The 12,949-nt window shown below is 49.3% G+C and overlaps 1 annotated feature.

The window, feature by feature from the left end:
- Positions 5,965-6,664: an enhancer, noted in NCBI's record as "NANOG-H3K27ac-H3K4me1 hESC enhancer chr2:393639-394338 (GRCh37/hg19 assembly coordinates)". NCBI's record gives its function as "activates a minimal SCP1, AML or CMV promoter by ChIP-STARR-seq in primed H9 embryonic stem cells {active_cell/tissue: H9 hESC(primed)}" and the evidence as "EXISTENCE:reporter gene assay evidence [ECO:0000049][PMID:30033119]".

The raw sequence follows: 12,949 nt of genomic DNA, 5'->3' as shown, positions 1-12,949 counted from the left end.
CCCTGGCCTGTTCTGTAGCCAAGTAACCCCAGCCTGTTCCATACCCTGGGGCCCTGGCCTGTTCTGTAGCCATGTAACCCCAGCCTGGTCCATAACCCTGCGGCCCCGGCCTGTTCTATAGCCACGTAACCCCAACCTGTTCCATAGCCATGTGGCCCCGGCCTGTTCTATAGCCATGTAACCCCAGCCTGTTCCATAGCCGTGTGGCCCCGGCCTGTTCTATAGCCAAGTAACCCCAGCCTGTTCCATAGCCGTGCGGCCCCGGCCTGTTCTATAGCCAAGTAACCCCAGCCTGTTCCATAGCCGTGCGGCCCCGGCCTGTTCTATAGCCAAGTAACCCCAGCCTGTTCCATAGCCCTGTGGCCCTGGCCTGTTCTGTAGCCAAGTAACCCCAGCCTGTTCCATAGCCCTGTGGCCCTGGCCTGTTCTATAGCCATGTAACCCCAGCCTGTTCCATAGCCGTGCGGCCCCGGCCTGTTCTATAGCCATGTAACCCCAACCTGTTCCATAGCCGTGTGGCCCTGGCCTGTTCTATAGCCACGTAACCCCAACCTGTTCCATAGCCATGTGGCCCTGGCCTGTTCTATAGCCATGTAACCCCAGCCTGTTCCATAGCCGTGTGGCCCCGGCCTGTTCTATAGCCATGTAACCCCAGCCTGTTCCATAGCCCTGTGGCCCTGGCCTGTTCTGTAGCCAAGTAACCCCAGCCTGTTCCATAGCCCTGTGGCCCTGGCCTGTTCTATAGCCAAGTAACCCCAGCCTGTTCCATAGCCGTGTGGCCCTGGCCTGTTCTATAGCCACGTAACCCCAACCTGTTCCATAGCCGTGTGGCCCTGGCCTGTTCTATAGCCATGTAACCCCAGCCTGTTCCATAGCCGTGCGGCCCCGGCCTGTTCTATAGCCATGTAACCCCAACCTGTTCCATAGCCGTGTGGCCCTGGCCTGTTCTATAGCCACGTAACCCCAACCTGTTCCATAGCCATGTGGCCCTGGCCTGTTCTATAGCCATGTAACCCCAGCCTGTTCCATAGCCGTGTGGCCCCGGCCTGTTCTATAGCCATGTAACCCCAGCCTGTTCCATAGCCCTGTGGCCCTGGCCTGTTCTGTAGCCAAGTAACCCCAGCCTGTTCCATAGCCCTGTGGCCCTGGCCTGTTCTATAGCCATGTAACCCCAACCTGTTCCATAGCCGTGCGGCCCCGGCCTGTTCTATAGCCAAGTAACCCCAGCCTGTTCCATAGCCCTGTGGCCCTGGCCTGTTCTATAGCCATGTAACCCCAGCCTGTTCCATAGCCGTGTGGCCCCGGCCTGTTCTATAGCCAAGTAACCCCAACCTGTTCCATAGCCATGTGGCCCCGGCCTGTTCTATAGCCATGTAACCCCAGCCTGTTCCATAGCCCTGTGGCCCCGGCCTGTTCTATAGCCATGTAACCCCAGCCTGTTCCGTAGCCACGTAACCCCAACCTGTTCCATAGCCGTGTGGCCCCGGCCTGTTCTATAGCCATGTAACCCCAGCCTGTTCCATAGCCCTGTGGCCCCGGCCTGTTCTATAGCCATGTAACCCCAGCCTGTTCCGTAGCCACGTAACCCCGGCCTGTTCCATAGCCGTGTGGCCCCGGCCTGTTCTATAGCCATGTAACCCCAGCCTGTTCCGTAGAGCCACGTAACCCCAACCTGTTCCATAGCCGTGTGGCCCCGGCCTGTTCTATAGCCAAGTAACCCCAACCTGTTCCATAGCCATGTGGCCCCGGCCTGTTCTATAGCCATGTAACCCCAACCTGTTCCATAGCCGTGTGACCCCGGCCTGTTCTATAGCCGTGCAGCCCTGGCCTGTTCCATAGCCCTGTGACCCTGGCTGTCTGCACAGCCCACGGCTTTGGTCCTAGAAGGCCCCAACTGGGGCTTTTCACCTTTGTGTCTCCGACACGTCAGTGCCCAGCAAATAATGAGCACTTAATTCATATTTGTTGAATGAATGAATAATAAAAAGAGCAATTATTTTCATTGAGCCTTCGATTAATTGAATTTAAGATATTATAGTTTGAGTTTGGACTGAATGTTGCCTTCGTCATGTTGCAAACACCTGGAATCTCGGGAACTTAAGTCTAGTGAACCAGTTATGTATGACACAAGTCACCTGTTTCTCAAGAGAAATGCTCAAAGGCATTCAGGAGATTCAGGAAATTCACTGACGCCCAAGGGCTGGGTAGCGTTTGATTCACAAACGGAAAAATGATCGAACGATGCCTCATGTCCTCGTGAAGCACATGTTAATTTCTGAGCATAGGAATAGTTGAGGATGGCTACTGCATTCTGCATTTTTTAAACACTTGGCAAAGTGGTTTCTTTAATTGTACTATTTTCTCCAGAATCAAAATAAAAGAATGCATAGCAAGAGCCTAAACTTACAGAAACGAATAAAAGATCTCTGTCCTTTGGCTTTCTTTTGTGCCCTGAACGAATCCCGAATTGCTGTGATGATTTGATTTACCTGCCCAGATCCTTCGCTGTGCATGGAAACACGATCCTCCCTGAGGTGGCCTCCTGGAAGCCGCACGTGATGCCTCCCATTCCGGGGGAACCAAGAAGCAGCGCTCGCAACAGCTGTCCTCAGTCACCTGCACCGTAACTTTGAAGAAAAAAGTGCCAAACTCTGATGGAATCCATTGCACAACGCTGCAGCTTTGGCTTTTCAATATGCACCGGGAGTATAAAAGCATTCGCAGAGAAAAGAAAGAAAATCAACCTAAGCCACAAATGACAGACTATGCATGTTAAAAGTCCAAAACAAATTAAGATAAACTGTTAGAATTTAGTAAGGTTTCTGGATAAAAGGTCAAATTTTTAAATGTAATTATATTTCTATAATCCAGAAACAAACAAAAAATAAAACAGCACTACAAAATATTTAATACCTGGAACAAATTTACAAACTATGTACAGGGCCCACTGACTCAATGTTGTGAAGGTATCTTTTACTGCCAAATAAATCTGTAGATTCAATGAATTATCATTAATTGCCCAGAATTTGTGCTTGTAAAGTTTTTCAAATTCTGAAATTTATATGGAATTGCAGAAGCCGAGGACAGGTGAAGGGGCTGGGAAAGGGGCCCAGGGCACTGGCTGTGCCCTGAAGGTCCTGACCCCAAGACCAGCAAAGCGGGTGCGTGGAGAAGCCTCGCAGCCAGGCAGGCAGGGACACCCACCTGTGACGGATGTCTCTGAAAGCCTCCACCCCACGGCGCTGGATCATCAAACGCGCGTAGAGAAAAGAAGGAAACTCAACCCACCTCAGGCTCACACGAAACAAACCCCAGGTGGATTGTGGAAATGAACAGGGAGGGTGAAAAAACAAAGATCCTACAAGATAACCTTGGAAAATGCCTTTATACTGGGAAAGAAAAAAATTTTCCTGGCAAAACACAAACGTTGTGACCATAAAGGAAAAGATTTATAGCCAAACTATATTAAATAGTAACATAAATAATATAAATATAAATGCAAGTGCAAATGTGCATGTATTTACACACATATACACACACACCAGGTGCAGGTTAAAATTCTCAAAAGGAAAGATGCAGGATGTAAAATATTTCACAGGCGTCCGCACACCTCCGTACTAAAATGATTTGAAAGCATCACAGTGAATCCCTGCACAGCGTTCTGGTATCTCCCTGTGCCATCCTTCATCTAACCTGCCCCTTCCTTAGCTTCCGCAGGTAGAGGGGTCCCAGGCCGTGGCAATGGCTCCCATGCCCGTTGGCGGGGTGGGGAGGTCACTGGGTGGGAAGACGAGGGCTCCACCTGCTTCTGGGTTCCAGGAGGGCACAGGCCATGTGCAATGCACATCTCAGGTTCTCTGTCTATAAAACAGGAACAAATCCTATCTGCCCTATTTCTGCCCAATATTTACGGAAGAATCAAGATAATAGCATTGCAATACTCTATAAACGCTATGTTAAATTGAATGAGGAACAAGCATGTCACTTCGTACAGATCATTTTAATTTTGGTTGTCACTCTTGCCATTCAAAATTTCAGCAGCAAACTTTCCCAGGCCTGTGTCCTAGTCAGCCCAGGATACTGTAACAAAATACCATGCACTGGGCAGCTTGAACAGCAGACATTCGCTTCCCACAGGTCTGGAGGCTGAGGTCCAAGACCAAGGCACTGACAGGGCTGGTTTCGCCTGAGGCACCTTCTCTGGGGGCCACGGCCACCGTCCTGACTGCACCCACAGGGCTCGGCTTCTCTGTGTGGGCCCAGGAAGAGAGGGAGCCTGTGGGATCTGGTGCCTCTTCTCACAAGGACACTCGCCCCAGCACGAGGCCCCACCCTCACGACCTCATCAAACCCTAATCTCCTCCGCTGAGGGTGAGGCTGCAACCTACGAATTTCAGAGCGACACACACATTCCGTCCATAACACACTTGTCCGTTTAAGGGCATATTTTCCTTCTAGTTCTTCACTAGAAATAGAAAACATAAAAAAAAAAAAAACTGGTAAGAGGATAAAAATCTCGGTCATCCCAGTTGGCCCAAGATTTTCAAAAGAACAATCCTAACTCTGAGAAAATGCTCAGGTTTTGTTTTCCTTCATTCTGTACTTATGGTTCCACACTTAGGCAGACTCGGCTTAAACCCATGTGGCTCTGTGGGGTACCTGCCCCCAGTCCAATCAGTGTGTGGCCCTGGGACAGCCACAGGGTGAACAGCCACACTTTCCAAATGCCGTTTGCTGTCACTCCACAAAGAAGCCACCTGCAGTGCAATTCCACTGACAGATCCATGACAAGACCAGAATAACACATCATTAATGACTTAAGCCAAAGGAAAAGGTATCAATAAAGCAGATATTTTATAAAAAGACAATAATTAACCAAACACCCACGTGCTGGCAGACACTGTTATTTCACAGCAGATTCAATGTGGTGGCAACACAGCTGATTTGGGAGTGAAATAATTGATGCTTTAGGCATACGTGGTGCTGAAAACAGGATTTTCTTCCATTTGAGAGTGGAGCTGCACTGCTGACTAAAAACATCCATTTCTATAATCAGCAACCTGAAGGCTTTCTTAACACAGAAGGGCCAGAGAATATTCCGTCTCCACGGTCGCCCCCGCCTGAGCATCTGCGTTGAGGCTTCCTGTGTTCAGTTGTTGGACATCACTCAGCTGAAGCAGCTGAGAAATCAGCTCCATTACTGCACCCACAGCTTCGCAACTGGACATTTAAAATGAAGCAACATAGGCCGGGTGCGGTGGCTCACACTTGTAATCCCAGCACTTTGGGAGGCCGAGGCAGGTGGATCACTTGAGGCCAGAAGTTCGAGGCCACACTGGCCAACATGGTGAAACCCCGTCTCTACTAAAAATACAAAAATTAGCCGGGTTTGGTGGCACATGCCTGTAGTCCCAGCTACTCGGGAGGCTGAAGCAGGAGAATCTCTTGAACCTGGGAAGCAGAGGCTGCAGTGAGCCGAGATCGCCACTGCACTCCAGCTTGGGCCACAAAGCCCAGGCTGTCTCCAAAATGAAATAAAAGAAAAAAGTAAAATGCTGCCATAGAGATTAATTAAATCTAGGCTAATATCCTCCCAAGTAATAAACATAAAGTTACTTAAACAGCTGAGCCAGGCGCCCGCCAGTGTCGAGGGTGCTGTAGTGAGACAGGTGCACAGTGAGCATCCAGGAAATGTGGAGAGACCGCAAAACGAGGAGGCACAGAGGAGACGCGGGCCCCAGCGGGGGGAGTCAGTGACACGCCATGAAAACACACAACACGGACGTGGAAGGATAGAATATGCCAACACCGGGGAGGTGTCGACTGCGCTGTTAACTGAAGCGTACAACAGATAAAAGGAACTACAAAGCAACATTGTAAGTTCAAAAGGTGGCACAAGCCACTGAGAAAGGTTTCGAGTGTTAGGTTATATTCGCGGCAGATGTGGGGGTCTCTGGTGAGAGGAGGCCGTGGAGACCCTCAGAGCCTGACTTCACAGGACACGAGGCTCAGTGCAGGGGTCCACAGACCACAGTGAAGGCGAGAGCTGGGACTGCCAGCGAGTCCAGGAGCACAGTGGGTCTGGAGATGAGATGAGGCTGCAAATAAGGAAACTGACAAAGCCATCCAGGCTCCATGGCAACGGCACAGCTTCCGGAAACACGTTTCTTTCTGAATGAGAGGCTGCGGGAGGCAACAGGGAGGAAACCGGAGGTGGAGGCCGCCCCACGCGTCTGCCCAGCACCTCCTGGAGGGTGGATCTCCGAGCTGGGGGCCTCATCTGAAAGGGGCTGGAGTCTTTCACAGTTGGCATGGCAATGAAAAAAGGTATGAAAAGGCAGTTAACACATTTCAGGACAAGCAGATCAGAGCCAGCCCTGCAGGCATCTAGGCAGATGAGTAGGTACTTTTGGAATGTGGAGTTTGAGTGCAGGCTGCATGAGATCGCTTGGGAGCAGGCACCTTCAGCCTGCCGTGAAGTTTGACTGCCTAGTAAGCACATGCCTGCACCCTCAGCCTGTCGTGAAGTTTGAGTGTGTGGTAAGCTCGTGCCTGCACCCTCAGCCCGCCGTGAAGTTTGAGTGTGTGGTAAGCTCGTGCCTGCACCCTCAGCCCGCCGTGAAGTTTGAGTGCGTGGTAAGCACATGCCTGCACCCTCAGCCTGTCGTGAAGTTTGAGTGTGTGGTAAGCACATGCCTGCATCCTCAGCCCGCCCTGAAGTTTCAATGCGTGGTAAGCTCGTGCCTGCACCCTCAGCCCGCCGTGAAGTTTGAGTGCGTGGTAAGCACATGCCTGCACCCTCAGCCTGCCGTGAAGTTTGAGTGCCTGGTAAGCACATGCCTGCACCCTCAGCCTGCCGTGAAGTTTGAGTGCCTGGTAAGCACATGCCTGCATCCTCAGCCCGCCCTGAAGTTTCAATGCGTGGTAAGCACATGCCTGCACCCTCAGCCCACCATGAAGTTTGAATACCTGGTACGCACATGCCTGCACCCTCAGCCCCCCATGAAGTTTGAGTGTGCGGTAAGCACATGCCTGCACCCTCAGCCCACCATGAAGTTTGAATACCTGGTAAGCACGTGCCTGCACCCTCAGCCCACCGTGAAGTTTGAGTGTGTAGTAAGCACCTGCCTGCATCCTCAGCCAGTCGTGAAGTTTGAATGCCTGGTAAGCACGTGCCTGCATCCTCAGCCCGCCCTGAGGTTTGAGTGTGTGGTAAGCACCTGCCTGCACCCTCAGCCTGCCTGTGAGGTTTGAGTGTGTGGTAAGCACATGCCTGCATCCTCAGCCTGCCGTGAGGTTTGAGTGTGTGGTAAGCACATGCCTGCACCCTCACCCCGCCGTGAAGTTTGAGCACACGCTTACCACATGCCAGGTTCTATGTTAGGCTCCAGCTGCCCAAGAGTGAGCAGGGGGAAGCAGCCGCCCTCACGGGACCCAAAGTGTAGCATGAAGGTCAGTTGTGAGCTGGCGTGAATTCGGAAACCAGCTTCCGGAGCATTGAGCGAAGGTTCGCCTTGTGAGCAGCGCACGTCGTCTAGATGCTGCCCGTGGATCTGTGCATTGCGCCTGCGTGCGCCCTTTCCTCTTTGCAGTGACCTGCGTGCGCCCTTTCCTCTTTGCGGTGACCCCACCCGAGAGGCTTTCTCTTCTGTACATCCACGCTTCTCAAGCATGTACCAGTTTTTCCGGCACGTGGGAACTGCAAAGGCTCAAGTATCTTTGTTGGTTGGTTTCTTCAGAACTGAAAGCTGGACATGCTGGGGAGATTGTCTGACTCTTGCCAGTCCTGGTTCTAACTCGGGCTGTGTGGAGCTCCAGGCTCCTGGTTGGCTGTGGAGTCCAAGCCCAGGGCCTCCCACCTCCACCAGCCACAGCCCTGATGGACCCCTGTTCTGTGCTCCTCGTCCTCCCTGCTCTGGGAGGCAGGGACAGCGGAGCCACGCATGATGCCAAGAGCTTCCCTGCTGGCCTAGAGTCACAGACGCTTAGAGGTGGGACGGATAGGCCTCTCGCCTGCAGGTGGGAGACCGAGGTGGAGACAGGGCGAGCACTTGCTCGATTTCTTAACTGACTGATTCCCACCCCCCTTCGCTGTTTCTGGGGATGGTCACTGATGTTTCTTTTTTCACGGCCCATCAGCACAGTGAAGCTGAAATCCCATCCTCCCATCCGTAATCACAGCAGGAAAGGAACAAAAAAGGAATATCCTGGCATCCTGTGGCCTTTCAAAACTGGGTCTGGGTAAAATGGAAATAACTTTTTGATTTTATCTATACAATACCAGGACTTCCTGGGTGTGACAGAGAAGCGTTATGTCAATTATGTGAAAGAGAATTATCCAGGAAGATATCTAGGACTTCTATAGCAACAACTCAGGTTTCTACAGCTCCTGGGTGTCTCAAAATGCTCTCACCTGACTCATCTCCTACCACGCCCACTTTCCCACCCACCTCCCAGCTGTGTATCATCATCTCTAATTTAAAGAAAAAGTACCCCAAAGTGTGAGGGCCTTCCCTCTGCCGCACATCATCGAGAACACCAGGAACAAGCCCAGAATGTTAGACAGCATACAGCGCAGCTGGAACCATCTCTCCACCCACATCACCGAGAACCCAGGATGTTAGACGGCACACAGTGCAGCTGGAACCATCTCTCCACCCACATCACCGAGAACACCAGGAACAAGCCCAGAATGTTAGACGGCACACAGCGCAGCTGGAACCATCTCTCCACCCACATCACCGAGAACACCAGGAACAAGCCCAGAATGTTAGACGGCACACAGTGCAGCTGGAACCATCTCTCCACCCATATCACTGAGAACACCAGGAACAAGCCCAGAATGTTAGACGGTACACAGTGCAGCTGGAACCATCTCTCCATCCACATCACCGAGAACGCCAGGAACAAGCCCAGAATGTTAGACGGCACACAGTGCAGCTGGAACCATCTCTCCACCCACATCACTGAGAACACCAGGAACAAGCCCAGGATGTTAGACGGCACACCGTGCAGCTGGAACCATCTCTCCACCCACATCACTGAGAACCCAAAATGTTAGACAGCACACAGCACAGCTGGAATTATCTCTACATCTCAGGAACACCTCGGGGGTGGCCGTCGCTTACTGGAGCATTCACCTGCAAGACTCCACAGGGCCACTGAGGACTCGACTCAGTTCCACTGCTGATGAGAGTGGCGTTCTTCCGTCTGAAATCAGGCATCCATCCCTGCCCCACGACGACAAGCACGGAAGTCCTGGCAGCCCTGGCACCGGCTCTCGCCTGAAACCCTCACAGAGCCGGCTCTGGAATGCTGCTCTGTACTGCACCCTCCAGTTAATCCCATTCCCAACACATGTCCAGGAAAGATGATAAACAAAGTGAATATCCATGCAAAAGAGATCACTTAAAGGTCTATTTAAATTGTGTGCTCTTCTCTTTTATTTTCCTTCATATGTGATCTTTCCCCTAGTCATACAGAAATAGCCATTTGCTCAGGGAGATGTGATTGTCAGGGTGGAAATGCAAATTAAAGGAAGAGGCATCACTGCCGCCCTGACTGACGGAACGAGATAACTGAGTTCCCACCAAAACACGTGTAAAATCATGGCTGTAAGGAGAAAAGTAAGTGGATAAATAAGTACTTGTATGAACTCACACACACACATACACACGCATGTACATATACACATACATATGTACTATCTAAATCCCTTGAACACCCACACACACATACACACACGTGTACATATACATACGTACTGTCTAAATCCCTTAAACACACACACACAAGCACATGTACATATACATATGTACTGTCTAAATCCCTTAAACATGCACACACACACGCACGTGTACATATAGGTATGTACTGTCTAAATCCCTTAAACATGCACACACACGTGTACATATACGTATGTACTGTCTAAATCCCTTAAACATGCACACACACATACACACATGTGTACATATACGTATGTACTGTCTAAATCCCTTAAACACGCACACACACATACGCACATGTGTACATATACGTATATACTGTCTAAATCCCTTAAACACGCACACACACATACGCATGTGTGCATATACATATGTACTGTCTAAATCCCTTAAACACGCACACACATACACACATGTGTACATATACGTATGTACTGTTTAAATCCCTTACACACACATACGCATGTGTACATATACGTATGTACTGTCTAAATCCCTTAAACACGCACACACACATACGCACATGTGTACATATACGTATGTACTGTCTAAATCCTTAAACACGCACACACACATACGCACATGTGTACATATACGTATGTACTGTCTAAATCCCTTAAACACACACACGTGTACATATACATATGTACTGTCTAAAGCCCTTACACACACACACGTACATGTACATATATGTATGTACTAAATCCCTTAAACACGCACACACATATGCACGTGCACATATACGTATGTATTGTCTAAATCCCTTAAACACGCACACACACATATGCACATGTGTACATATACGTATGTAGTCTAAATCCCTTAAACACGCACACACACATACACACACGTGTACATATACGTATGTACTGTCTAAATCCCTTACACACACATATGCATGTGTACATATACGTATGTACTGTCTAAATCCCTTAAACACGCACACACACATACGCACATGTGTACATATACGTATGTACTGTCTAAATCCCTTAAACACGCACACACACACGCACATGTGTACATATACGTATGTACTGTCTAAATCCCTTAAACACGCACACACACGTACACACATGTGTACATATGCGTATGTACTGTCTAAATCCCTTAAACACGCACACACACATACGCACGTGTACATATACGTATGTACTGTCTAAATCCCCTAAACGCGCACACACATACGCACATGTGTACATATACGTATGTACTGTCTAAATCCCTTAAACACGCACACACACATACACACGTGTACATATACGTATGTACTGTGTAAATCCCCTAAACACGCACACACACATACGCATGTGTACATATACGTATGTACTGTCTAAATCCCTTAAACGCGCGCACACACATACGCACGTGTACATATACGTATGTACTGTCTAAATCCCCTAAACGCGCACACACATACGCACGTGTACATATACGTATGTACTGTCTAAATCCCTTAAACATGCACACACACATACGCACGTGTACATATATGTATGTACTGTGTAAATCCCCTAAACACGCACACACACATACGCATGTGTACATATACGTATGTACTGTCTAAATCCCTTAAACGCGCACACACATATGCACGTGTACATATACGTATGTACTGTCTAAATCCCTTAAACACGCGCACACACATATGCACGTGTACATACACGTATGTACTGTGTAAATCCCTTAAACACGCACACACACATACGCACGTGTACATATACGTATGTACTGTCTAAATCCCCTAAACACGCACACACACATACGCACGTGTACATATACGTATGTACTGTCTAAATCCCTTACACACACATACGCACGTGTACATATACGTATGTACTGTCTAAATCCCTTACACACACATACGCACGTGTACATATACGTATGTACTGTCTAAATCCCTTAAACACACACACACACATACGCACGTGTACATATATGTATGTACTGTCTAAATCCCTTAAACTTCTCTTGACATACCAAGAGCCAGGCCTGGAGGAGTTTTCACAAAGTCCTGGGTGGAAAACTGGGGATGTGATCAAGGAAGTGTCCTGCCCAGAAAGTCCCTGATGGAGAAAGATGGAGATGGACGTCTGGAGTGAAAGAAGGTGGGACAAGGAGCTCACAAGCCGGGTCTTTTCTTTCCTGATGCTAAGGACGGAATCTAAAGGCAGAGCATTCAGAGCAGGGCCTCGGAGCGGCTGCGGGTGCCTTGTGGGTGCCTGTCGGCCAAGCCACAGCCCCGGCTCAGACCTGCAGCCGCCTCTGAGTCAGCATTCCTAAGTAAGTCAGGGGGTTCCAGTGGAGACCACGTGCAGTGGCTGAGGAGGCCGTCTGGGGTGTCGAGGCTTTGCTCCAGAGGGTCCCCAGCCAGAGGCAGTGGCAGGAGCACAGTGTGCTCAGCCCCCAATGGTGCCCACCTGCCAGGAGCCACCAGATTTCAGAGACCAGATCCCGGCCTCCACGGCCAGCCCAGACCCCGGCCTCCACGGCCAGCCACAGACCATCCCAGGACCCCCTCTCGCCCGCAGCAGGGAAGAAGGAGCTGCAAGAGGTGGAGTATTCGCCCCTGGAAGCTGAGTCCGCCTGAAACTCAAAGAACCTGAAATCCTCGTAGTAGCTTCTGTCTCCTCCAGCTGCAGCCAGTGTGTGAGGAGGAGTCAAGCACAGAAAAGCAAAGAATACATGAGGAAGCCGACCATAAAATTATAAAAACTTGGATTCTTCTTCCTCTCAATGAAGGCTTAACACCTATGTGACAATAGGGAGTTATGCTTATAATCGAGTTATAAACATGAAAAGCAGATAGGTAGTCGCCTGTATGTTATAGAGATGACTATACAGATATGTAAGTGTAGAGAAGAAATTTAAAAATTACACTGAAATATTCGCGACGGTTGAATTATGATGTTTGTATTGTTCAAGGTGATTTCATCTTTTTTTCTATTTTGTATAGTTTTTATAATATGAAAATAACATTTCTTTGAGTCTGCATTTTCTCCTGAAAATCAGTTTCATATACATAAAGTTAATTTTGCTTTCCTCCCAGAAGTTGTCTTGCTATTTAGACTTATGATCAGCTATTTCCTCCATCTCAGACAGGGACATTCACAGAAAAATATTAAGAAATTTGACTGATTACCTTGGTGTGCTGGACAAGTCAGAAAAACCCTTTGGCTATAATAAAATACTTTGTTTTATTCAGTTGTAGGTGATAGTTGGTC

Source organism: Homo sapiens, chromosome 2 (genome assembly GCF_000001405.40).
Source record: "Homo sapiens chromosome 2, GRCh38.p14 Primary Assembly".
NCBI lineage: Eukaryota > Metazoa > Chordata > Mammalia > Primates > Hominidae > Homo > Homo sapiens.
Note: the sequence above shows the minus strand (reverse complement) of the source record. Positions and strands in the feature narration are given on the sequence as shown.